This window comes from Homo sapiens, chromosome 6 (assembly GCF_000001405.40).
Source record: "Homo sapiens chromosome 6, GRCh38.p14 Primary Assembly".
NCBI classification, from domain to species: domain Eukaryota; kingdom Metazoa; phylum Chordata; class Mammalia; order Primates; family Hominidae; genus Homo; species Homo sapiens.
Window position 1 is genome coordinate 157,378,855 of NC_000006.12, and position 26,069 is coordinate 157,404,923.

The window sequence follows — 26,069 nt, forward strand, 5'->3', positions numbered from 1 at the left end:
CAAGGAAAGGAATTTTGCCTGTGCCCGGAGTCAGAGTGGAAGCCAGTTCTTCTCCAGTGAATGTGAACGCAGCCTGGCCAGCCCCTTGATGGCAGGCGTGAGACCCTAAGTGGGGGACTGAGTGTACCTGGACACCTGATCCATAAAAACTGTGAGAAAAATCTGTCTTGTTTTAAGGCCACTACGTTTGTGGCAATTTGCAGCAATAAATAATTAAGTACAAGTACATGTCACCCAAGGTCAACTATTTTCAACAGTTTCCAATTGTTTCATTTATACCTCCATGTCTGGAGCTGGGTGGGTGGGAGGAGGGGAGTGGATGGGCTGGTGTGTTTTAAAGCACATTTCAGACTTTATATTATTTCGCTGGCAGATACTTTAGTACATATCTCTAACAGACAAGGAAGGACTTTTTAAAAGCATAACCATAATGCCAGAAAAATTCGGTTTCATTGAGAATAAGAGTGGGAGTCTTTTTTAATGCCATCAAATCAATGGATCTATTATATTAATTGGACACCCACAGAAAAGGTGCTTGCAATAAACAGAATAAGAATAATACCCCGTTGATCTCATTAGCTAAAGGACAGGAAAGCATATGAGAGCTTTCACTTGAAATGTATGAAGCTTTCCAGTTGGTTTTTTAAAACTAGTCCAGCCACAAATACTTAATTGTCCCTGTAATATGCTTGTCTCTCATACAATATCTAAAATAATTAAAACCCAATTATTATCGTGTGCTTAAGATCCATTCTCCCTAGACTCTAACCGGCTTTGGAATGGACCCCTGTAAATTTCACTTGTATTCAAAACTCCTTGTAATTGCATGTCATACTCTAATTGCTATTCCCATCACTTTTTCCTTACCACAGCTCCTCCCAACTGGCCCTCTTGGATAAGCCAATCTCATCCCCCTTCGACACTCCTCACTGAGGCACGCTTTGTAAGGGACATACTTAGGGCTCTGGGTTCGATGCCATCTCTACTACTTGGGAGCTTTGTGATGTTTGGCCAGTAGTTAAGCTTTCTCTAAGCTGGATACAATAATGCCTCACCGGGTTCCGGCGAAGATTAGACAAAGAACATGTGTAACGTGCAAACTGCCCAGTACAGAGAAGGCACCGTTCCCCACAACCCCCTTTGTTGGTTCCCATCTCCCACCACCTAGCCCCAGAACGCCCAGCACCACGCCTCTCCTGCCCTTGTCGCGGGGGATGCAGGGACTTGTAGTTTCTAAGGCCCCGAGTCGTGCTTCTCCTCGGCGCAGGCCTGCGGGCGGAAGAACTACACATCCCAGTGGGCTGTGAAAGGAAAGTGGGGCTCGGGAAATTGAGCATCCCTGCCCAGCTGCCTTCGTTTTCTGCGGCCCCGGGGCTATGCCCACCTCTGCGGGGGCTCGGACCCGCGGCAACGCCTGGGAGGGCGCGAGCGAGCAGAAGCCCCAGGCTCCGGCCGTCCCAGGGCCGCGCCCGCAGCTCCTCCTGGGCTGTCGGGTGGGAAGGGGGGAGGCGCAGGCGGGAGAGGAGAAGCACGCGACCCCTCCGCTGCCGAGGGGGCTCCACGGGGGAATGGAGGGAGAAATAAAGCGAGCAGCTGTAAACGTCCGTGGGGAGAAGTGGAGACCGAAAGAGCTGGGCGGCAGCAACCCAAAACCTGGCCTCCAAGGGCTTATACTCCGGGAGGGAGGCCGGGGCCGGAGGGGACCCTGACCGCTTCCTCTGCCCTTCTTTCTCGGCCCGGAAGCCGGCCGAGCCGGGCCCCGAGACCCTCGCCCGCAGCCCGGTCCCGAAGTCAGGCCGGCCTAGGGCCGCCCCACCCCATCCTGGCACCCGGCACCCCCAGCCCATTTCTCGGGCATCACCAGAGTCCCCGGGCGACGCGACCACGCGCCCAGCTGGGGAGGAGGAAGAAGGGAGGCGCAGGCCGGGGAGGGTCACCTCCGCGCCGCGGCTCCTCAGGTCCCGGGGAGTCGCCAGGAGTGGCTTGCCGGTGGCCGTGGGAATGAGCGTGTCCCGAGGCGGCAGCTGCTGCGCGGGATAAACCCGGAAGAAGCCGCGAGACGGACTGAAGTCGGCCAGGAGCGCACTGCGCGGCGGGGCCGCGGGCGCCCGACCCCATCCCTACTTGGGCGATGCCACAGGGAGCCCCGCGCCTTCCACACCCCAGGGCGCCCGCCCGAGGGGGCTGGGGCTGGAATCTCGCTGCGCCGGTGCCCTGGCTTCGCGGGCGAGGAGGAGGAGGAGCAGGAGGAGGAGCCGCGGGTGAGGCGCGAGGCCACCGCCCACCCGGCCCGGAGGAGGCGGACCCACTCGGAGCGCCGCGCGCGCGCCGGGCTGAGCCTTGCAAACAAGTGTCTGTGCTGTGTCCCCGCGGCCCTCCTCGCGCCGGGGCCGCTTCCTCCGGGTAGGAGGGAGCAAGGGAGCCCTCGCCGCGCGGCCCGCGAGCCGCCGCCGCCCTCGGCCCGCGCATCCCCGCGCGGGGGCCGCGGATTCGACTAGGCTGCCAGGCGCAGCGACACCGGGTCGCGGTGCGAGCGGCGCCCCGGCTCTCGCCGAGAGGCTCCTGACAGAAAAACGTGCGTGGTTGTCCCCACCCCTGGGAGGGGTTGCCGGTGCCGCGCGCGGCCGCCCAGTCGCCAGCGCTCTCTCCTGGGAGGATCCGCTGCCGGAGGAAGGAGTGGACCCAACCTGGCCGCGCCGCAGAAGTGGCTCCCGAGGAAGCCGGCGCCGGGGCCGCCGCCTCGTGTCCCCTCGGGGCGCAGTGCTCGGGGGTCGGCGGGCCAGAGCCGAGGCGCGGCCGGGGAGCCGGGGGCTGCGGGGCCGAGCGGGCAGCCGCGCGAGGGGGCGGGCGCTCGGCGACCCGGGGGCCGGCCGGGCTGAGCCCCGCGCCCCGGGACGCGGGCTGGAAGCGACGGAGGAGTGCTGCCGCGGGCTGCGGACCAGCGCCGTCCCCTCACGGAGCGGGGATTCTGCTATGACAGTTGGGCTCCCCGGAGGGTTAACCTGGGTGTCCTCGGCAAAGTTGTCGCCGAGCCGGGAGCCCGTGTAGGGGCCGCGGCGCCGCGGCTCGGGGGGCGGCCGGGCGGCCGGCGGCGGTCGTGGCTCGGCGGGGCCCGCGCGGCCGGGGGGCTCCTGGGGGTGTGCGCCCCCAGCCGGCTGCCCTCGTGGATGCCTCCCGGCGGCGGCGGGCCCATGAAAGACTGCGAGTACAGCCAGATCAGCACCCACAGCTCCTCCCCCATGGAGTCGCCCCACAAGAAGAAGAAAATCGCGGCCCGGAGGAAATGGGAGGTGTTCCCGGGAAGAAACAAGTTCTTCTGTAACGGGAGGATCATGATGGCCCGGCAGACGGGCGTCTTCTACCTGACGCTCGTCCTCATCCTGGTCACTAGCGGACTCTTCTTCGCCTTCGAGTAAGTGGTGGCGACCGCTCCCCCGACGCCGCACTCCCCTGGTCTCCCCTGTCCCCCGCCCCTCCTCGGGCTGCTTTCGTTTTCTAGAAGTCTTATCTACTGTAAATTGTTATATAATGCCAGTCTGCGCTCCCTCTTTTTTCTTTTAAAGGTCTGATTGCTTTTGGGCCCCCGGAAAGAACGCCGTTCTGGGCTGGGCTTCTGGGAGCAGGGAGGGAAGGGGTCCACTTGCAAGGGGGGCCAGGCCTTGCCAATCCAGGTGGCGGATGGGACCCAGCAGGTGGGGCCGCCGGTCCCTGATCCTTGGGGCGCTCTCTACCGAGTTTGGGGACCCAGCAAATCAGCCCAGATGTAGCCTGCCGTGGGAAGGTGGGGTGCGATAGATTCCTAAGTCAGGGATACATGGAACTGACTTTTTCCCCCTTGCTGACAACATATAGGGCATCTTCTTAAGCTCAGTTGACTGAATCTCCCATGTAACTTCGACGAATAATTGAGGAATCTTGGCTATTTCAGGTTTCAAAGTGTCGGCTGCCTAGTGTGCCCTGGATAGATCATTGCATTCTCCAGCCTCCTACATGCTCACTCTGGATTAACAATTTCTTATTTGCCATGAGGTTTCTAAACTCTTCACTTTCAAAAAGGTTGCAATAAAAGGTGTCCAAAACAAACAATTTGGGAACATGTGAAAGGAGACCTTAGGTCTGTTAAGGAAGAGGATGACACTACGTGACAACTTCCGATTCCAGAAACAGTCTGGACTTCAGGGATTATATCTGGGGGGATAAAAAGCGCATGCAAGTCTTCACCGTTTTCAGGAAAATCAAATTGGCCAGTAGCAACTGTCCTCCTGCCAACTAATGAAAGGTCTTCTTATTTATTAGCAGTGATTAGATAAAGCAGTTAAACCACATTCCAATCAATTTTGGTTGCTTTTTTTGCATCCAACATTTGGAATGCAACTCCTTATGTAATTTCTGGTATCCTATGTTCAATGAAAGGTGGAGTTACTTTTTTCCCCTCAGAATTTAAAGAAAGCAATATATTTATAGGGAGCTCTTCTTTGGGCTTCCCAAATCCTGGTTATTATTGGGCTTGATACTCCTTCAGTCTCCGCCTCCTCCTGTTGGGTAGGCTCAATTAAAACCTTTTGAATTTATTTACTTTTGTTTCTGATTAGGATTAATAGGCTCTAATTTTGTGCCTGGCTTTTGCTCTTCCAAATGCTGTCTCAATTGGAAATGAATGATCTCTTGACAACGTAATACTTGTCGCTCAAAGCCCTCTGACTCTCAGGAGAAACGTTTTGTATCTGGACACTGTGCGCTGATTAGCAGTTTTAAGAGGACTGAGTTAGACCAGGCGATGAGAAGGATCTCTGATTTAAGCGAATTCCCCTTCCCCAGTCCTTCTCACACACAACTCCTCTTCCCCATTTCCGATGGTATGTGCAGTTCCCGGGTCCCCCTTGATGTTTAGGTTCTGTGTCTGTTTGACACTAGTAGGTAGAGTCAGTGGGGAGACCTGTGGACGGGAGGGGAAGGGTGTGAACAGGCATTCAGAGTGGCAGGGAGACACACTCTACTCATGCTGCTGTTGCTCCCATGGGCCCCCATTGAGAGCAGCCTCTTGTCCTTACAGACCTTGGAAACTGGAAGAAGGGGCATAGAGGTTCCCCATGAGTTTACGTTATCTGTTAGGATGAACACTGGCACTGGAAGCGTGATGCCATGTGGTTTAACAGAAATGCCATCTCTCTAATGGTGAATTTAGTTACAGGTGGTCCTCTAGTTGCAGAGTATTAACTGTGTTCCTACAGTTTTTTAAAAAAAATCTTGAACAGATCCAAATTGGCACTTTTGCTCTTTTTAGCGATTTTAACTGTGGAGAAAATGGGTTAATTTTGTGATTCTGTTGCAGAGCTTCAGCCACAAGTGTGCTCCATGGAGGATGATGAATATTTCATTTTCTGTATATACCCAAGTCCCCACTGTATGCTTAGGGATCCCCCCAGTTATTACTTAACATCTTTTATTTTCTTCATTCAAACATAGCTTCTAACCAAACCATCATAAATTCATTTTCGTTTCTTGATCTCTGCGTGTGTTTTTTCAAGAGTTCCCAAAAGTCCTCACTAGCAGGTTGTTAAGGATCTTTCTCTGTGTCAGTGTTATGTTAACTGATGACTGTAGGAATAAATGTGTGCGCCGGGATTTTATTAGCTGCTATTTGCAGCATCTTTTTTATATCAGCTCTGTGGGAGCGTATGTGTGTATATGTGTGTGTGTTTGCTCTCCATGGTTGTTGCTTCAACTAGGCAATTTGACATTTCAAGAAAACAAGAGGCCCATCCTAGTATGATGCCTCTGTTTGGAAAAATCAGAGGCTATTCGAGCTACAGAATATTATGGTTTAGCTGAGAATATTTGTCACTGTATTGCTTTCAAATTCTTTATTCATAAATTAAATAACCAATTTGACCAAATTAATTTGCTAGAGACCAAAGAACAAGTTAACCCCATACAGAGGAAGAAAATACCAACAGGCCAATCCCTAAGCGAGATCCAGAGGAAATGCCAGTACTGCCTGCCCCTGGCCTGCCTTTCTCCTGCCTTCCTCTAGTTATGTGGTCCTCTATTTTGATTGTTTAATTTCATGTCTAGATAGCTTTTTTAAAAATTTATTTTTAATTTTTTATAGAGATGGAGTCTGCCTATGTTCCCCAGGCTGGTCTTGAACTTCTGGCCTCAAGTGATCCTCCCGCCTTGGCCTCCCAAAGTGCTGGGATTATAGGTGTGAGCCACTGCACCTGGCCATCATGTCTAGATAGCTTTTTATTGGAGACAGAGTCTCACTGTGTTGTCCAGGCTGGAGTGCAGTGGCACAATCATGGCTCACTGTAGCCTTGACCGCCGAGGCTCAAGCAATCCTCCCTTCTCAGTCTCCTTAGTAACTGGAACTGTAGGCATGCACCACCACACCCAGCCAAGTTTTGTATTTTTTGTAGAGACATAGGGGTCTCACTATGTTGCTCACTATGATCCTGGGCTCAAGCGATCTCCTGCTTTGGCCTCCCAAAGTGCTGAGATTATAGGCATGAGCCACCGCACCTGGCTATCATGTCTAGATAGCTTTTAATATTAGTAAACTTCATTGTCAAACATTAGAATTGCGTTTCCCCAGTTACACAAAAGCAAATAAAATGTGTGACAAAAAGAGTGAATAACTTAGTCATTTAGTTTTAGCCCTCCCCTGTCTGCAATTCTTCTCTCATCCCAGCTCTCATTCCTGACCTTGAACAGATGGACAAGAAAGTTTGTCCAAGAGAAATGAACTTACTAGAACTCAGCAACAGGTGTTGATACAGTCTTTAGCCCCTGGAGAAAGGCAGGGTAGAAATGATTATTCCCACATCAAAGACGAAGTGACAGAGGCTTGGTGAGGTTAGTCACCTAGGGTTGCACAGCTAATTAGTGGGAAGGCTTCTGGCTGCAAAGCCAGTGCTCTTTCTGACTAATTGTGCTGCTCCTCGTTCAAGTCTAGGGTACTGGTTAAAGGCATGGATTTTGGAAGGACAGACCCTAAGATTATTACTAGCACTATAACCCTGGGCAAATGATTGGTCTTTTTTAAGCCTTAGTTTCCCAATCTGTAAACTGAGATTAATAATAATCTACCTTTAAATGATGGGAAGATTAAATAGAAAATGTATACTTTGCACAGTATACAGTATAGTATATACAGTACAGTATACGGTATACTGTGTACCAGTGTTTGGCACATAGCAAGGGCTCAATAAATGGTTCATATTGTTAGAGTAAATCTTAGAAGTAGGCCCCCAAGGACTCTGGTCACCCTTTTCTGAGAGCATTTTGAGGAAGGGAACATGTAGGTTAAGAAGCAACTGTGACTGTGAAAAAGCTCACGACTGTGCAGTCCGCTATTAAAGTAAAAACCTGGCCGGGCACAGTGGTTCACGCCTTTAATCCTAGCACTTTGGGAGGCCGAGGCAGGAGGATCACTTGAGCCCAAGAGTTCGAGACCAGCCTGGGCAACATAGTGAGACCCCATCTCTAAGTTTTTAAATAAAAATTTAAAAATATACAAATAAAATAAGCACCTTTGTGTGAGTCCAGGGAACCTCTGTGAAGCTGTGGCTTTGCTGTTACCCATTCAGAATGGGAGTCCTTCAGGGATGTCTGGGGACCTGTCCTTATCCAGACTGGATTTCATTTTTGTTTTTGAAGCCACCATCCCAGAACAGTGAAGACAGTACAGAAAGCTACTAGAAGCAACCAGATGCAATCCTGTACTCTTTCTCAAGCAAGGAGGGACTGCTTATCTGTTGGCATCTTTATGCACTGTGTGGAGTACTGATGAAAAGTGACAGCATTTCATAGCTGTGTTTAGGGGAGGTGGGGAGCCGACTGCAGTGCTATCCAGACAGCTCACCCTCTTTGCAGCTATTAAGAGTCTCATCAAGGCTGTCTATGCGATGTCGTCATTCTCACATTCCCAGAAGTAGAATTTGAAAAGATCAGTGAACATTAACAATTTCTTCTTCTCCCTGACATATGCACACATACAGCCTGCTTTTGTTTACAGTTGTAATTTTTAAAATAAAAAATCTTTGGTCCTGAAATATTAAACTTTCATAGTCTTGCTCACTGGGGCAGAATGAAGGAAACAAACTGAGAGGCTGGGTGAGGTTTGTGTTTTCAGCAGCATCATATGAGGTGAGGAATGTCTGCTTAGATCTGGGGCTTGACTGGGTCTCCGCATTCTACACTGCCACCACAGACAAGTTTGGAGGTGTTCCTGGGGCTCAGACACTTGAAAACGTGGGGACATTCTCAAATTTCTCATCACTATAAGTCCATTGAAGGGTTTTTAAAAAATCTTTCTTTCTCTCTTTTCCTCCCTCCTTCCTTCCCTTCTTCTTTTTACATTTAGCTAATTCCTCTGAAAAAAAAAAACAGTGAATAATTGGAAGTCAGTAGAACTGGGATCATGTTTGCCTTGAAGATGGAACTTGGGGCTATCCCCTGCAAATAAAAGTGTCATTTCCAAGAACGACGTCTCTGTTATAGATGGGTAACTTATTTTCTAGTAGAGGGTGCTGCCTTTATAATATATAATAACCCCATATTTTCTTACCACCCCCTGGCCATGCAGAACTGCATCAACCTCTCCACCATCTCAGAAAATATCTGCATAGGGTCTCATCGGTTTTTTTCTAAGTGCTGTGCCTCATAGAACACCATGGGGTTGATACAGACAATACGTGACCCTCAGGACCTTACCAGAGGACAGTGCCTAGGAACATAGTACATGGAGCCAAGGATGTTTATAACCCACTGTGGTTCCACAAGAACTTTAGGTGACTTGAAAACCTTATGATCCATTGACATGAAAGCACTAACCCATTCATTTGTGTACATGATCAACACATGTCAGTTCCTTGAGGATGGGGACTCGCCTTGTTCACTGCTGTATCCCCAGGGCTTAGAATAGTACCTGGTCTATAATAGCAAGCTCCCAGTAAATATCTGCTGTTTAATGAAGTAATGGTAATTTTGAAACACTTTGGAAAATACCTTTCTTGTGCTTTAGTTTTTGCATTTTGTAAACCTCTGTACATTAATAAAAATTTATGATTAATAATGTCTTGTAGAACACATTTGCCTCAGAAACTTTGATTATTTGATGTAATTCTTCTGAATTCAAGTGTGTTAATTAAAGCAGAAGAAAAAGCTTTTCTTAATTATTTAGAAAACTAGTGATAACATTCGGATGTTCTCTTGGCTAACCAAGACTTCTTTCTAGTATTTATTTTTGAACTAAATGCTTTAAGCAAATAAAGCACTCTGGGATATATTTGAATGTTACCTAACAACCACTGGCACCTAGAATAATTTCTCATTTTATAGACTTTTCACTTTGGACACTTGAATTTTTCTAATAAAACTCTGAAGGATACTATTGACTACACATGTTTTATTGTGTTCCCTTTTAGCTAGTAGGAAGTGATACTAAATTGTGCAGAAAGGACTCCTCTAGGTTCCTATAATAAGATAGTGATGGTTAATTATTTAATGGGCCATATCTGCATATCCTGGAGATTTTTTTTTCTTTTTCAGTACAGTGTTGCACATAATTTATTCATGGCAGAGTTATTATGTCTTAGCAAGAAAATTTAAATTAAGAGTTGCAAGGAAGTGCATTTGTTATTTTATAGGTGAGGTTGTTAGGAAAGTGAAAAACAGTGGTGATCAATAGATACTTAATTAGTTACATCCAGGAATTTGGATCTAATAAAATGTCAGTTCATTCAGATAAGGGTTGGGGACTAACCTAATGCTTTTGTTCAGTTCATCACTAAATATGAAGGTTAGTCCCATTTCAAACTTATTTTTATAAACTGGATGATCTTCTACCTCCCCAATTTCCATCTTTTAAAAAATGTAATGTGAGATTAATACAGAAGATGATATGTAACATTTGCAAGTTTTGAAGTAAAATACTATAAAAAGCACCCATGAAACTACCACCCAACCCAAGAAGCACATCACATCAATGCTTTGAGTCTATTCGGTCCTCTCTCTTGGCCCAGTCTCATCTTCCTGCCCATCCCTGAGGTCGTCACAGTCTGAGCTTGGTAATTATCAGCACCTTGCTTTGTCTTCTCTCAGGGATTTTGAGTGTGTGTATTCCCAAACAATACGTTGTTTAGTTTGGTTTATTTTTCTTTACAAATATGGTATCATGTATCATGCCATATGTAGTCTTTTAAAAAATGCTAACATTGATTTAATATGGATTTAACATAAGATAGCATCATAGCATAGTACTTAAAGCAGTCTATTCATGAATCCATGTAATTCTGCAGATGGCCTAACTTTTATTTTGAAATGATTTCAAACTTCCAGAAAGGTTGCAAGACTAAAGAACTCTGTATACTCTCCATTCAGATTCATCAATTGTTAACATATTTCTGCAATTATTTCTGTCTTTTTCTCTCTCTTCCTCAATCTTGCGATTAATAGTTTCCCCCTCAGACCATTGAAGAGTAAGTTGCAGATATTATGTTCCTTTACATCCAAATACTTCTGCATGTAATTTTTTAAGAAAAAGGATGTTCTCATATAAATACAGTAATGGCATCAGTTTTAGGAAATCTAACATGGATGCAACAGTCCGTATTCAGATTTTGCCATTTGTCCCAATATTGTTGGGTGTATCATCATGGTATTTGTTTTCTATTTAACTAATGTGTATTTTGTTTCTCTTTTCCACCTTTTGGCTTCTTTTAGATGAATTGCATATTTTTAGTATTTCCTTTTATCTTTAACAAAGTCTTAGGCTATGTTTCTTTGTGCTATTTTTATTAATTGCTTAAGAGATTACAATGTGCATTTTTAACCAATTACAGTCTATCTCCAAATAATAGTATTATTCTTCACAAATAATGCAAGAAATAGAAAACATAATTCCTCTTACTCCTTCCACCCTTTGTACCCACTGTCATATATTTTACATCCATATATGCTATAAAGCCAGTAATGTTATTATTTTTAAACAATCAATAGCTTTTAAAAGAAAAATAAATTTATGTAAAATAAACATATTTTAAAACACATATACACACGTATAAGATATAAAACATATATATGTATGTACATATATTAAATAGAGATAATTTTAAATGGACTTTTATATTTATCTTCATGTATTTACCGTTTCTGGTACTCTTCATTTCTTCTAATTATATCATTTTCCGTTGGCTTAAATTATTATCAGCATTTCTTATATGCAAGTCTGCTGGTGACAAATTATCTTGGTTTTTGCTTTTTCTGAAAAAGTTCATTTTTGTCTTCATTTTAAGAGCATATTTTTACTAGATGTAGAATTCTAGGTTGATAGTCTTTTTCCTATCAGACCTTTGATGATATTAGCCCATGGTCTTCTGATCTGTTGTTTCTGATGAGACCTTAGTTGTTATTTTTTTTAGCATTTCCCCCCATATGTCATATGCGATATTTCTCCAGCTGATTTTCTCTTTATCTTTTGTTGTCAGTAGTTGGAATATGATAACATGCCTATGTATGGTTTTCTTTACATTTATCCCGCTTGGGGTTTGCCGAGCTTCTTGGATCTGTGGATTGATATCTTTCATCAGTTTTGGAAATTTTTTCATTCTTTTTTCAAATATTTCTTCAGTACCTCTTTTCTTTCCTGGAACTCCAGTTAATTATATATGACATCATTTTATATAGTCCCATACTTTTTAGATACTTTATTCCATGTTTTTGTCAATTCTTTTCTTTTCCTCTTTGTGTTTTAGTTTGGATAATTCCTGTCGGGTTGTCTTCAAGTTAATATTTCTATGTTAAGCCAATTTTGATATCTAATTTTTGATATCTTTTTTTTATTTTGAACATTTCTACACTTAAAAAATAGTTTTTAAGGAGTCTGCTTTATTTTGCTGAAATCCTCCATCTGTTCATGGTTGTGTTAATATTTTCTGCTAGATCCTTTCACATGTTTATTAATCATCCTTTAATAATTCCAACATCTACATCATCTCTGAATCTGTTTCTTTGGACTGTTTCTTCTCTTGATTATGGGTTATATTTTCTTTCTTCCTTCATGCCTTGTAATTTTTTTTATTGCATGCCAGACATTGTATGTAAGAGAATTATAAAGTCTATAGTAATTTAAATTCTTTTTTCAGGCCACTAGTGTGTGTGAGTCAATCTAGTTTGTAATGGAAACAGGTTTGGGCCTTGGGGAAGCTTCAGTTAGATTCATTTTTATCACTGGCTTCAAATGTTTTGAAGGCACAATCAGGACTTCCCCCTTAGCAGGGCTTGAAATCTGAGCCCTGGAAAAACTCTGGAGGTTTTTAAATGCTTCACAGTCCAGGACCAGCTTACCAAACAGTGGAAGATTTCTGTTTTTCAGCCTGACTGCCGGCTTTTTGGGTCACTGGGGAGTTGTCTTTGTGTCAGTCTTGCACCAAGTTTCTGTACCTCAAGAAATCTTCCCTGTACAGCTGCTGTGCCCCAGCTTTTGGAGGGCTACTGCAGTGGTCCGAGTGAAGGCCTGGAGTACCTCAGAATGACTTTCTCAGTTTTTAGATTCTGACCCTTTTATACCATACCCTGAAGCTAAGTCCTGTAGGCTTCAGAGAAGATGTCTCTCTAGTCTCCTGCCCTACCCCCAGCCTTTGGTGTAGTTTTGTTGTGTTTTTGGTAAAGTTCATTTGGTAAAGAAAGAGTTGGCTGGTGGCTAGGCCTCCTTGGAATCATAATTCATATGGCAGTCCACATATGGCCATTAATGTGGGTTAAAAATTTATTTGATTTCTCCTCACTCCTGTTTATGGTGGATTCCTGTTCTTCCTGCTGCTTTGCTAGGGAAGGAAGCGGCTATTGGCCTTTTTTCTCTTGGGAAGGACTTGATACATTTAGGCTTCTTTGCATTCTCAGCTCCCTGACAGATTTTTTTCAGACTATGCTTTTGTAGCTAATCTGGCTTGTTCTCATTGTTAGAGTGGGAGTGATTGCTCTCACAACTTTCAACTTGTGATTGTTAAAAACTTAATACTGTATTTCTCGGATTCATTTATGTTTTTGCATATATATGTAATTCATTTTTACTGCTGTAGGATTTGATTTGTGTAAATATGCCCAGTTTATTCGTCTCTTTTTAATCTTTCTTTCTTTGACTTCTTACTGATTCTTGGCATTTGCTGTCATTTTGTATGTAATGCGGAATCTGCAAGACTTCCATTTTACAGATTTTGATCCTCTTAAATCTGTCCTGCCAATGACTATGACATCTAGACCCAAATGCTTAGGTCTGGATAAGTGAGAGAGAATTTAGCATGGGATTCATTGGCTTTTATGTGATATTAAAATATTTATTACAATGATAAATCCTAGCTATCAACTAATCATTGAAGTTATATACAATTAAGAGCATGGTTTATAGAAACATATATCCTTATGATGAGTGAGGTACTTTATCATAGATCTTCATCTCCTAGCTTAATTTGATGCTGATTTTTCTTGATTTTAAAAGAAAGTTAATTTTTTTTCTTTTTCTTTATCCTTTGTAATACTTTGTGCTTTGAAGCTCTTCTCTGATCTCATACCTAATGTGTATACAGCCCCCCGTGTGTTGGGGGGTTGTCTCTTAGACCGTATTCTTCCTCTCTGTGTCATGTGGCCAGCTTTCTTTGGAAGCCTTGATAGCAAGGGTTTCTGATTGAACCAGCCAGGCCTCTGCTCTTGTAGACTTTCTAGTCTTCGGTGCTTACCTGAGAGAAAAAATTGTTTCCTCTGCCATGACTGGATCCATAATTAAGAGAAAGATGTGTGTGTGTGTGTGTGTGTGTGTGTGTTCATCCCCCTTGACTCCAATCCTTCTATCTGTAGAAGTTAGCTGATCTTTAATTTAGGTCTGTTTTTGCCTTTACCTCCTTGTCACTTCATAGCTGGAGCTAACATACCATTACAGTAGACCTCCCTGTCTCCCTCTAGAGACTTTGGAGGTAGACTTGCTTTCAACTGCAATGGCACTTTTTTTATTTTATAACAATTTTTTTTAATTATTTTTTTTGAGATGGAGTTGCCCAGGCTGTTGTTGCCCAGGCTGGAGTGCAATGGCGCCATCTCGGCTCACCACAACCTCTGCCTCCCGTGTTCAAGCAATTGTCCTGCCTCAGCCTCTCGAGTAGCTGGGATTATAGGCGTGCACCATCACACCCAGCTAATTTTGTATTTTTAGTAGAGACAGGGTTTCTCCATGTTGGTCAGGCTGGTCTTGAACTCCCACCCTCAGGTGATTCGCCTGCCTCGGCCTCTCAAAGTGCTGGAATTACAGGCGTGAGCCACCGCACCCAGCCTATTTTAGAACAACTTAAGCACACTTTAGCACACTATTTAAAAACAGCAGTATAATCATTTCTGTACATCTTCAAACTAGATTTTAAAAACTGCTGACTTCCATGCTGTTGAGAGCCATGGGAATGAGGTGGGGCCCAGCAAGGCAGCTGATAGAGGAGGGTGTAGCCAACGGCCCTGCCTGTGACTTGCCCTGAGATAATCTTATCAGCGGAGGAATGGCGATCTAACCCACTTGGGAAGGAATTTGAGCTCAATAAGTCTGCTATCTTTTGGTGGTTTTCAGGCGTGGCTCATGAATACAAGGCAACAGCTTATTTTAACACTAAATACCAGCGTCTATTGGAGATGTTACTTCTACTTGCTGAGAAATGATTGCCCTTCTTGTACTGATCATAGAAATAAGTCTCTAAAATGTGTGTTCCTGGCAACTTCCTTGACATAATCTGGTATTTTTCTCAGTCTTCACTTTTCCCTTTCTCTCATAAGATCTCTCCTAAGTGCACCATCTCTGGTGGTATAAGATACTGTGTCTACTTTTTCTTGTTTTGAAACTTTTTCTTCCTTTAACTTCTAGGATGTTCCTCTCCCACTTACCTTTAATTATTTCCTATTCTCCTGCATCTTGTATCTCTTCTTTCTTTCTTGCCTTTAAGTAACTTTGTTCCTCTCTCTCCTGCCTGTCTTAACTTTCCTAAGCAAGATTGCACGGTCATGGTGGTTGCTCTGGCCTTTGCAAATGTGACCTTCATCTCTGTGTCTCTGTCCCCTGCTTAGAGCACCTGCCCCCTGACCTGGCATTTCCTCTTGCCTGTAGAGATCTCTGCCGAGGTGTCCTCTGACTCCCAGAAAGCAAGTCATTGAAAGCTGAATGGCCTGCAGTTTCTTCTCAATAGACAGTCTCAGGGCCCCACCACTCTCAGGAAAGAACATTTCCTGGGTTGCAGAACTGTGGCCTGGGAACATTCTCACTTCCACCCTTCCCGCCTACCCACCGCCATCAGGCTGTACGCCTCCTTTCCTTCCTTGTCTCTTAGACTGCATTCTTCCTCTCTGTGTCTGTACTGAAGGTTCTGGTTCACAGTCATTTCACGGATTCTTTGACACTTTTCCCATGAAAAGGTGGAGTCTGATTCCTCTCCTCTGGAATATGGGCCAGCCCACATATGAAGGACAGAATGTGTCAGAAATGATGCTGTGTGATTTCCAAGGTGAGGTTAGAAAACATGGCAAGGTTTCCACCTGCTTCTCTCTCTCTCTCTCACTTGGGACGTGCACCTTTGGAGCCCTGAGCTGCCGTACAAGAAGTCTAGCTCCCTGGACACCCCATAATACAGAGGCCATGTAGAGGGGTTTAGACCACATAGCAATAGAGGTGACAGTGGAACCCCAGCTGAGTAAATGAACCTTCACGTGCTTTGACTCCCCCACCTCCATGACCCCACCCCACACTCCCACTTTTTTGAGCCATCCCAGTGAAAGCCAAATGGAGCAGATATGAGCAGTTCCTGCGGCGCTCTGCCTAAATTGTAGAGTGATGGCCAAAATAACATCATCGTCGTCTTAACCCACTATATCTTGGGGCACTTTATTATACAGCCACAGTAACTGGAAAACTTAACTGCCAGAACGTCTCAAATGAAGTGTTGGGACTGGTTTGGGGCATGCAGCGATTCATGTGTGACCAACAACACTAAAGTTACAGGGCTGAAGTTTGAGAATTTTAAAAAAATGATGGTAAATTCAGAGTCAGCTCTTCCCACTCCCTTCCATTCCAGAATGCTTCTTTGAGCAGGAGAGACAGGGGTTGCAGCCAGTTCGTGCACCCATAATTTTGCCTAATCCCAGCACTTGCTTGGCAGAAGCGGCCCTTCATCTCGTGTGCCCTGGTGGGAAAGTAGTGAGTACTGACAGTTTAGACCCTCACCAGCCCACACCTGGATGGTGTTGCCAGCTTTCTTCCTCACTCCTTGTCTCTATTTTTATTTTTATTTATTTTTTTAAGATAAGGTCTTGCTCTGTCACCCAGGCTAGAATGTAGTGGCATGATCATAGCTTACCACAGCCGTGACCTGCTGGGCTCAAGCAATCCTCCCACCTCAGCCTCTGGAGTAGCTGGAACTGCAGGCACACACCACCACACCTAGCTAATTTTTTTTTTTTTTTTTTAGTAGAGATGGGGTCTCACTATGTTGCCCAGGCTGGTCTCGAATTCCTGAGCTCAAGTGATCCTTCCACTTCGGCCTCCCAAAGTGCTGAGATTACAGGTGTGAGCCACCACACCTAGCCTTTCCGTCTCTATTGTTCCTTCACTCTAGCCTTAAAAATCCCAAGTTCCGCCGGGCGCGGTGGCTCATGGCTGTAATCCTAGCACTTTGGGAGGCCAAGGCCGGCGGATCAGGAGGTCAGAAGATCGAGACCATCCTGGCCAACATGGTGAAACCCTGTCTCTACTAAAATACAAAAAATTAGCCGGACGTGGTGGCACACGCCTGTAGTCCCAGATACTCGGAAGGCTGAGGCAGGGGAATCACTTGAACCTGGGAGGCGGAGGTTTCAGTGAGCTGAGATTATGCCACTGCACTCCAGCCTGGTGACAGAGCAAGACTCCATCTCAAAAAAAAAAAAAAAAATCCCAAGTTTCTTACTGTACTGTGTCTGTTACATATAGTGATAGACTCATATGCCTATTGGGAAACTAAATCCGTGCAAAGCTGTATAAAATCGGTACTTGAGGCCTTTCTATTTTTCTCATAATTTATTAAGAGCAACAGATGAGAGTCTCTGTTCCCTAAGATCTCAGTGTATAGCAGTCCAGTTGATTTAGGTCTGCTTTTGCCTTTACCTGCTTGTCCCTTCATAGCTGGAGCTAACATACCATTAGAGTAGACCTCCCTGTCTCCCTCTAGATATAGAAACACAACTCTCATAGGGACACCTTTTTGACACTGTCATGTACCAGGATGTTCACCCCTCCCTGGGTTAGTGAGAAGACCAGGGGCCTGCTTCACCTGCCGACCGTGCTGTTGACATACCGAGGCCTTTCCAGAAATAGCCTATGGTGGCCTCATGGTCTGCAGAGACTTGCTGTCCCACAAGGGGACAGCTAGGCAAGTAATGACTCCTAGCAAGCTGATCTTTCCAGTGAGCCTCAGATTTATATAATCAAAGCAATTTATCATCTTGAATGCTCCTATTTTGGGGTCTTTTAATGCCATGAGTTTCCCATACACACATTCTTGATGGCAGATAAGGGCATTTTTGAACATAAAAGCCAAAGTCAAGTTAAATTCTGCAGCTATATATGGTCTATTTGTCTTTTTAAGCAGGAAGAAGAATTCTTGACTTAAATTATCTCACACTTACAAACTTGATGCAGATTTTCCTGCCTCTCTTTAAGATTGAAACCTATGCAAGTTAAATTTCAGCGTGGTCCTAACACACACAGTCAAATGGTGATTATGGCTCTATTTGGGAAACACACTGAGTTTGTGTTTGTGTTCTTATTCCATTAGCTATAAGCAAATTTTGCACAGATATTTCAAGAGGTATGCTCTTGTCTTCTTAAAAGTAGATAGATACTAAATGTTGGAGAAGCCTACTCTTCCCATCATAACATTATTACTTAGGATTAACAGTGTTTTATATAGAAACTGTATTTCTTCTTTGGCTAGAAAAAAATAAAGATAGGAAGTATTGCTTTTAAACTGTATGCCTTTATTGAGCTGGGAAACTACTAACATTCTATTTTTTAATTTAGAAGTTGAAGTGGCAATGAAGTAGAGTTCCACTTATTTCTATCTAAGTTCTCTGCCTCTTGGCTTCGGATGGTGAGACAAGAATGATCTATCAGGACAATGTCATCACCTTGAACCTGAGATAAAGATTATTCTTGACTCTTATGTGAAATTGTTGATTTTGGAAGGTTGTATGGGTTTGTGGACCATAGCTGGTATTGTCAAGACAGATCTCAAGCTTCCCTGAATGGGAGCCCCAGTCAAGCGTAAAGGGGGAGACTTAAGTATGGAAATAAATGGAGAGTTGTTCTCCTTACTTCCCATTCTCTCTTCCCTCAGATTTAGTTTTCTTTTGCTGCTGTAATGAATTGTTACAAACGGAGTGACTTGAAACAACACAGATTGATTATCTTACAGTCTGTACATCAGAAGTCTAGTCTAATCCTGCTCTCCCTGGGCTACAATCAGGGTGTCAGCAGGGCTGTGTTCCTTCTGGCAGCTGTAGGGGAAATTCTCTTTCCTTGCCTTTTTCGGCTTCTGGAGCTATCTTGCAGTCCCCTCCCTCCATCCTCAAAGCCAGCGAGGCTCCGTGTCTTCCTTCCATCATCACACCTCCCTCTGCCCGCAGCCAGGAAGGGCTTTCTGCTTTTAAGAACCCATGGGATTCCCTGGGCCCACCTGGATGACCCAGGAGTTTCAGCTCAAGGCCCTTAATGTATCACAGCTGCAGAGTCCCTTTGGCACTATAAGGTAACGTGTTCACAGGTTCTGGGGATTAGGATGTGGATGTTTTTGGGGGAACGTTATTCTCCCTTCCACATCCGGATTCTTATTGTTCCCTGTATGAAGCTGGACTTGAACTTCTGAAGACTTTTCTGCAGCGCTCTGAAGGGGGCTGTCCCGAGACAGTAGGAGGTGGGAGGGGATTATTTGTCTGGCTGACCACCGTGTCCATCACGGTTAATGACACTTGCCTCTTGCAGATGGGTCCGCCACCCAGCACAAAGACAGAGGCTTTGGGGAGACAAACCCAACTGCCAGGGGAGAGAGAGAGAATCCAGCCTGGAAGGCAGCATGGGGTTAGCTTCCCAGCTCCTCAGCTCCCGAGCCCCTCAGCCCCCCAGCTCCCCAGCTCCCCAGCCCCCCAGCTCCCCAGCTCCCCAGCTCCCCAGCCCCCCCCGGCTCCCCAGATGGCCCCAGGTAGGCAGAGATTGGGGCAGAGGAGACAGAGTGGACAGTGACTGGATTCAGTAGAGTATGGAAACAGGGACGTGTGTTCCTAGAGAGCAGGGTCCCTGGCCCAAGACTGAGGTACTGCTAGAAGCTTTTGCCCAGCAGGCTGGATGGGCCCAAAAGTGCCAGGCCAGGCTGCAGTCCTGGAGGGAACCTGGCAGGGTCAGGGCAGGGATGTGGTTACTTCCACTGGCATCATGTCAGGATGGAGGGGCAGCCTGCCAGCAGGGGGAAGAGTCTCTAATGCCAGGTGGGGCTGTTGCTGCTCTGTCCCCTCTGGGGCTAAATTGAGGGCCTGCTGAGCCATCCTTCATTTGCGGGGAGGAAAGGGAAGCAGAGGCTGGAGGCCAGGCTGAATCTGACATCTAACTCAATTTCCTTCTCAGTGTGGGATAGTCCTGTCTCCTCCAAAGAAGATTTTAAAGTACATCAGTGTTCCCCTGCCCCCACCAAGATAGAATAATGGGAGTAATTACTGATGCTCCAGAAACAGCTTGAATAAGTACTCTTCCTTCTGGGCCAGGAAGACTGTGAAGATGTCTTATAAGAACACAGTTGATTGTATCAAATTAAAATGTTTCTTATTTTGTAATACATTTTGCCATTCTTACTTATTTTCCATTTTTTGCTTAGAGAAAGGAATTCTGTCGTTATAATGACTCCTCTGAAACGATGGCTTATTGCATCTCCACTGACCAGTACAAGAGAAGAGGAAAAGCTCTATGTGTCTGACAGTAAACATTAAGTGGGGATTTAGCTTGCTCATTTCCACGACATCCACAGTTAGGTTAATTCAGTCTCCAAAGAAAAATGATTTTACTTGAAATGTCTGGTCGTATACATGGATCAAAATAATTAAGACGTTTATGAAGCTCTGCAATTTTCTGGAGGGGACCTGCATGACTGTTTTCCAGAAAGTTATCAGATCTTGCTTTCCTGATTAGCAGCAGTTAGCGGGGTGGATAAAAGCACCCCTTCAGAGCAATCTCATTTCCATTTCTTTCAGGCCACTTATTTTTTCCAACTTTTTTTCCGTATCTTCATAAATGTTTCACTCTTCTTTTGTTAGTATTTCTTAGTCTCTTGAGTCAAGAAATATTTACTGAGTATGATTGCATGCATAAGTAGTGTGCGTTAGAGATACGATACCTGTAAGACACCACAGTGCTGGGTAGATCCGGGTGCCATTGTCTGTTGCCAGGGCCGAAGTTGGCATTTTGTAAGTGTTCGAATAAGCACCATGCCGTGGGATAAGAAATAAAAGTGTGTGCCTCATCTGTCATCTGTAGTTGTGTATATATGCCCTGTCTTCGGGCGGGCTTAGGTCTCTTCTCATAATTTGTGCCTTTTTGCTCATAACAGTCTGGTTTCAAAGACACAAAAACAGTTGTTGTTATTGTACTTAGATGAAGAATACAGAGCTCCTAGAAGGTTGATGAGTTCATGAAGAAGAAGGCTCTGGAACCAGGATCCCTCACCTTGGTGGACTTCCCACCACTGGAGCGGCTTCCCTGCCGGACCAGGGTTGACCCCGGCAAGGGCTCTCCCAGGCGCACATTCCTTTGCACATTGCAGCTGTTGGGAGACCGTACGTGATCTCACCATTCTCCATGGCCCCTTTCCATAGACCAGGCTGGCTGGGTGGCTCTGATCCTGATGCCCCACATGGCACTTTCTGCAGGTGCAGGTCCAAGGTGGGCCTGCAGCAAGGACTGGTCAGATTACTTTGAAAGGGGACAGGGAGGATGACATTTGGGGCAAGGAGAGTTTTACTCAGAACCATTTGTGTTGTCACCATCAGGGCTGGATTAAAACCTTTCAAAAGCCATCAACACTGAGAAGTGTATGGTAACCTCCTTCTCCATTACCATGTGTAATTTATATACTGAAATACATTGTGAACCATAACATTTCACTTTTCCCATTTGCAAAATTCTGAATAAATTCATTGAAACTGAACTTTTTCTATTTTTTCTTGCCCCTTCCTGCTGCTTCCCTGGACCTTGGTGTGGTCCACGCTTGGGCAGCTCAGTGGAGGTCCCACTCACAGACAGTGGGACAGAGGGATAGAGCCACACCACCAGCCACAGCTCTGCAGGCCTTTTGTGGTGACCCTCTCCCTGTGTGAGAAAGGCTGCTGTCACCTTCATCCTGAGAGCTGCTCCCAGCACTGTGCTCTGTTCCTGGGAAGGCAGCAGTGGGGTTGATGACTGGATAGCCCCTGCTGCACCCTGTACCTCCAAACAGTGCCCTTCAAACTTTTAAAGGGTGACCTACACCCTCTACATCCAGCAGCACATCATGGAGATCCAGGACACACACACGCAGAGAAAGGAAAATTTCATGAAACAACACTTAATCTGACCATGTGTAGTGAACTCTATTCTATTCTACTCTATTGTTTATTCTAGAATATTTCACTTAAATAATGCTTTGATTTCATGACCCACAACCTGCAACTTGGAAAACACTACTCCATACCCCAGTCCCCTGAGTCCCTCGCTGCTGCCCATGGATGTCAGGATGCCTCGTACTCTTGTGTTCACCCTGCTGTGCCTTCTGCTCAAAACACTCCTGCCCTATTCCAGCCACGAACCTATGAAATGCAAATAGCAGACGCCTTCCTGATGCCCCTGGCAGTAACCCTGCAGCGTTCCCCCAGGTCCCGCTGTCTTCCTTTGGCTCTGCCTCTTACCAGTGAGTGCCGGGCTCCCTGTGCAGCTGTGCACGCCTTTATCATCCCCTGGCCTGTGCACTCACCAAGCCCAGAACCCTGTCTTATTGATCTTTGTCTCCTGTGCCTCTGGTACTAGTGTGTGGCTCACAGTGGGCACTAAATCAGTCTTTCTAGCACTGCATTGAAAACAATATGCCCTTGAGTGGAGGAGACAGCCAAAACTTGCTGTTAAACCTAGGTGCATCCATTTCAGGGTTTCCATGTGTGGAGTGTTTTCATTAGCTGCCTTCATTATTTATTTATCAGATGCCAAAGCCTTGCCACAAGAAGCACTGATGTAACTTATCAGTAACCCAATGTTGAGATGTAGAGTTCAAAGATAAATAGAAACGTTGTTTCAAATAATGGACTCTAAAAAAAGCTTTTTTTTAGAAGCATAAAAATATGTCAAAATAGGCACTTTTCAAAATAATACTTTTTTCTTGTTAACTATCGTCAATCTTTTGGTACACTGTATGTAGAATGTTACTGGGTATACATACAGGCACCATTTTTCTTTATTTCTGATCATACAAGGGTAGAACTGGTTAAAATGCCCTCATTTTATAGACGAAGAAACTGAGGCCCACGAGGCTGGATGACGTTGTGAGATGCGCACCTGCTGAGGTCACCCTGCAGTAGTGAGATGCGCTCCTGCTGAGGTCTCAGCTGCAGTAGTGAGATGCGCTCCTGCTGAGGTCTCACTGCAGTAGTGAGATGCGCACCTGCTGAGGTCTCACTGCAGTAGTGAGATGTGCTCCTGCTGAGGTCTCAGCTGCAGTAGTGAGATGCACACCTGCTGAGGTCTCAGCTGCAGTAGTGAGATGCGCACCTGCTGAGGACACCCTGCAGTAGTGAGATGCGCACCTGCTGAGGTCACCCTGCAGTAGTGAGATGCACACCTGCTGAGGTCTCAGCTGCAGTAGTGAGGTGAGCACCTGCTGAGATCACAGCTTCAGTAGTGAGATGCACACCTGCAGAGGTCACAGCAAGTGATATGTGCACCTGCTGAGGTCTCAGCTGCAGTAGTGAGATGCGCACCTGCTGAGGTCATAACTGCAGTAGTGAGATGTGCACCTGCTGGGTCACAGCAAGTGAGATGAGCACCTGCTGAGGTCATAACTGCAGTGGCGAGATGTGCAGCTGCTGAGGTCACACTGCACTAGTGAGATGTGCACCTGCTGAAGTCACAGCAAGTGAGATGCGCACCTGCTGAGGTCACACTGCATTAGTGAGATGTTCACCTGCTGAGATCACACTGCACTAGTGAGATGTGCGCCTGCTGAGGTCACAGCAAGTGAGATGTGGACCTGCTGAGGTCATAACTGCAGAAGTGAGATGCGCATCTGCTGAGGTCACAGCAAGTGAGATGAGCACCTGCTGAGGTCATAACTGCAGTAGTGAGGTGCACACCTGCTGAGGTCTCAGCTGCAGTAGTGAGATATGCACCTGCTGAGGTCGCAGTTGCAGTAGTGAGATGCGCACCTGCTGAGGTCTCAGCTGCAGTAGTGAGATGTGCACCTGCCAAGGTCGCAGCGGGAGTAGTGAGATGTGCATCTGCTGAGGTCACAACTGCAGTAGTGAAATGCGCACCTGCTGAGGTCTCAGCTGCAGTAGTGAGATGCACACCTGCTGATTGCTAGTCTGGGGCTTCCTCCACTTCATCCTCCCTTCTTAATGGGGTGAAGATGAAGTGGGATATGATGGTCCCTATCATCGTGTCAACAAAATATCTCTTCAGTGTGAGATTTTTTGGACAATTTCTTGTTTTACACTTTAATTCCTTTTTTGAGAAAAGTGATGGGCAGGCCACTACTTCAGCCCTCATTTGAAGATATTAATATTCTCAGACTGGCGATGTACCTCCTCCTTTTCTTTTTCCAGACAAAAGTCTCACTCTATTGCCCAGGCTGGAGTGCAGTGGGATGATCTCGGCTCATTCCAACCTCCGCCTCCTGGGTTCAAGCAATTCTCCTGCCTCAGCCTCCCAAGTAGCTGAGATTACAGGTGTGCACCAGCACACCTGGCTAGTTTTTAAATTTTTTTATTTTTAGTATAGATGGCATTTCACCATTCTGGCCAGGCTGGTCTCGAACTGGCCACCTCAGGTGATCCGCCCGCATCTGCCTCCCAAAGTGCTGGGATTACAGGCATGAGCCACCATGCCCAGCCTGGCGATATACCTTCTGTTGCCTTCTGAACTGGACTTGTTGCATTGTACAATAAAAAAATTATGCTAATTTTCACCAGAGTTCATGGATTTGGCTTTATTTTAGAGCACCTGCTCTCATTAAAGATGTTAGCACATCAGAGAAAATGTAAATTGAATTTCTAACAAGCACTCTTGGATGGGAAAGGGGTTTTAAACAGAATTTCTTTGTTTTGTCCCTTTCAGCAAATACTATTGTCATGCTCCACAAGCTGGAACAATAACCTACGAAATAACCTGCTAGGTTATGAATGAAAGCATATATTTTGTGAAATTTGTGGTCATTTAGTTGGGTTGAAATGAAATAGTCACTGATGTTTATTTTCTTTATTATTTTCTTCAATGTTTTACCCTTACTCAACCTATGCACCTGGGAAAGGGGAAGGCTGCCAGTTGCTTTCTTCCTGTACCCTACCATGGACCCACAGCCCCTAAACTCCAGTACAATTATTCCCTGCACTATTGTTCTCTGCCTTAAGCATTAGAAAAGGGTTTAGGGCCGGCCTGAGAACTCTGTCTTCATTTGTCACATTGTTTCTTTGGGAAGACACATTCCCAGTTTCAAACAACCAACCTACAAATTAACTTTAGGGGCTGCCTATTCACTAAAAAAGAAGGCTGATTTCTGTAGAGCTGATTAGCTGAGCAGAGCTCATTAGCTTAGCTTAGTTTAGCAAGTATGATCTCCTTAGCTAATGTGACACCATAACATAGACGCTGCCACCCACCGGTGTCAGGAAGCGTGAAAGGCAGTCCAGAAGTGGCAAGCCTCATGGACCCGCCTGCAGGAGGGCAGACCCACTGCGGCTGCTGCTAAACCAACACCAGCAGGTGCCTTGGCAGGTGCTGAGCATGGTGGGCACACAAACGGGAGGACTTTTCCCAGTGGGGCCTGCCTGCACAAGCCAGGTGCTGGCTAAGGGCTGGTAGCTTACTTAACCCACACACTTCCCCCATAGTTGGTACTGTTATTAGTTCCATTTTACAGATGAGAAAACTCAGTGCCATATATCTTTGGAGTCTATTGTACAAAAATAGAATACGTTGAACATGGAAAGTGGCTTTCTATTTATTTATTTATTTTTGAGAGAGTCTCGCTCTGTCACCCAGGCTGGAGTGCAGTGGTGTGATCTCGGCTCACTGCAACCTCCACCTCCCAGGTTCAAGTGGTTCTCCTGCCTCAGCCTCCTGAGTAGCTGGGACTACAAGTGTGTGCCACCATGTCCGGCTAATTTTTGTTTTTCGTAGAGGTGGGGTTTTTCCATGTTGGCCAGACTGGTCTCGAACCCCTGACTTCAGGTGATCCCCTCATCTCAGCCTCCCAAAGTGCTGGGATTACAGGTGTGAGCCACTGTTCCCGGCCGGAAAATGACTCTTTTCTGAAAAATAATTTATGTCCTCCTCAACTAATTCCTAGGGCCTTTATTCAACATCCTTTGCTTTGATAAGACTCCCCAGTGGTGACAGAAGCCTTAGTGGATACTTGGGAGTTGCTTTAGGGAGAGGGTCTCTCCTGTCTCTCTAAAGTGCCCATTTGAGGGGATAAAAATAGCTGTTGACCGTTTCCTAGCAATGAGTCAAGGACAGAAAGTCCCTGGGGCAGGTGGCACTGTGCTTGGTTCATAGATGCTGAATGGAAGCTGGGTCCTTGTCTTTGGTTAGATAACTTGTTTTTAAATATATATTTTTTAATTTTGGAATATTTTAGATTTAGAGAAAAATGTTTAAAATAGCATTACAAAACTTTTTAGTTTGCTTGTTTATATTTCAGCTCTTCCTCATAAGCTCTTTAGCCATTGACTATTTTCTTATTAGGAGTTAAGAGTTAATGAATGGATTCCTTATGCGCTAC

General features: G+C 45.6%; 2 protein-coding genes across 4 annotated transcripts in view, besides 10 other annotated features; one reads left to right on the plus strand and one right to left on the minus strand.

Annotated features, from left to right (window-relative positions):
- Window positions 1-459: 459 nt before the first annotated feature.
- On the minus strand, window positions 460-2,237 carry LOC124901446 (uncharacterized). Its single transcript, XM_047419644.1, has one exon. The coding sequence runs from the start codon at window positions 1,845-1,847 to the stop codon at window positions 957-959; it is 891 nt and encodes a 296-aa protein (XP_047275600.1). The 5' UTR covers window positions 1,848-2,237; the 3' UTR covers window positions 460-956.
- Window positions 660-1,272: an enhancer, noted in NCBI's record as "H3K4me1 hESC enhancer chr6:157800546-157801158 (GRCh37/hg19 assembly coordinates)". NCBI's record gives its function as "activates a minimal SCP1, AML or CMV promoter by ChIP-STARR-seq in primed H9 embryonic stem cells {active_cell/tissue: H9 hESC(primed)}" and the evidence as "EXISTENCE:reporter gene assay evidence [ECO:0000049][PMID:30033119]".
- Window positions 1,474-1,553: a silencer, noted in NCBI's record as "silent region_17723". NCBI's record gives its function as "represses an Ori minimal core promoter by ATAC-STARR-seq in GM12878 lymphoblastoid cells {active_cell/tissue: GM12878}" and the evidence as "EXISTENCE:reporter gene assay evidence [ECO:0000049][PMID:35858748]".
- Window positions 1,714-2,603: a silencer, noted in NCBI's record as "silent region_17724". NCBI's record gives its function as "represses an Ori minimal core promoter by ATAC-STARR-seq in GM12878 lymphoblastoid cells {active_cell/tissue: GM12878}" and the evidence as "EXISTENCE:reporter gene assay evidence [ECO:0000049][PMID:35858748]".
- Window positions 1,884-2,495: an enhancer, noted in NCBI's record as "H3K27ac hESC enhancer chr6:157801770-157802381 (GRCh37/hg19 assembly coordinates)". NCBI's record gives its function as "activates a minimal SCP1, AML or CMV promoter by ChIP-STARR-seq in naive H9 embryonic stem cells {active_cell/tissue: H9 hESC(naive)}" and the evidence as "EXISTENCE:reporter gene assay evidence [ECO:0000049][PMID:30033119]".
- The window catches only part of ZDHHC14 (zDHHC palmitoyltransferase 14), a 296,968-nt gene continuing 273,234 nt past the window's right edge, over window positions 2,336-26,069 (plus strand). For all 3 annotated transcript variants that reach the window (NM_024630.3, XM_047419366.1, NM_153746.2), the window contains exon 1: window positions 2,336-3,412. In NM_024630.3, coding sequence (NP_078906.2) covers window positions 3,168-3,412 — 245 coding nt within the window. In that variant the 5' untranslated portion in view covers window positions 2,336-3,167. The remainder of the gene's footprint in view (window positions 3,413-26,069) is intronic.
- Window positions 3,114-3,163: a silencer, noted in NCBI's record as "silent region_17725". NCBI's record gives its function as "represses an Ori minimal core promoter by ATAC-STARR-seq in GM12878 lymphoblastoid cells {active_cell/tissue: GM12878}" and the evidence as "EXISTENCE:reporter gene assay evidence [ECO:0000049][PMID:35858748]".
- Window positions 3,254-3,393: an enhancer, noted in NCBI's record as "active region_25331". NCBI's record gives its function as "activates an Ori minimal core promoter by ATAC-STARR-seq in GM12878 lymphoblastoid cells {active_cell/tissue: GM12878}" and the evidence as "EXISTENCE:reporter gene assay evidence [ECO:0000049][PMID:35858748]".
- Window positions 18,978-19,478: an enhancer, noted in NCBI's record as "H3K4me1 hESC enhancer chr6:157818864-157819364 (GRCh37/hg19 assembly coordinates)". NCBI's record gives its function as "activates a minimal SCP1, AML or CMV promoter by ChIP-STARR-seq in primed H9 embryonic stem cells {active_cell/tissue: H9 hESC(primed)}" and the evidence as "EXISTENCE:reporter gene assay evidence [ECO:0000049][PMID:30033119]".
- Window positions 18,978-19,979: a biological region, named in NCBI's record as "H3K4me1 hESC enhancers GRCh37_chr6:157818864-157819364 and GRCh37_chr6:157819365-157819865".
- Window positions 19,323-19,617: a silencer, noted in NCBI's record as "tiled region #985; HepG2 Repressive non-DNase unmatched - State 13:Ctcf, and K562 Repressive non-DNase unmatched - State 12:CtcfO". NCBI's record gives its function as "represses a minimal TATA promoter and a strong SV40 promoter by Sharpr-MPRA in HepG2 and K562 cells {active_cell/tissue: HepG2 | K562}" and the evidence as "EXISTENCE:reporter gene assay evidence [ECO:0000049][PMID:27701403]".
- Window positions 19,479-19,979: an enhancer, noted in NCBI's record as "H3K4me1 hESC enhancer chr6:157819365-157819865 (GRCh37/hg19 assembly coordinates)". NCBI's record gives its function as "activates a minimal SCP1, AML or CMV promoter by ChIP-STARR-seq in primed H9 embryonic stem cells {active_cell/tissue: H9 hESC(primed)}" and the evidence as "EXISTENCE:reporter gene assay evidence [ECO:0000049][PMID:30033119]".

Coding starts and splice junctions, on each gene's coding strand:
- LOC124901446 (XM_047419644.1), bottom strand. CDS start 1,847: ATGGGCTGGGGGTGCCGGGTGCCAGGATGGGGTGGGGCGGCCCTAGGC.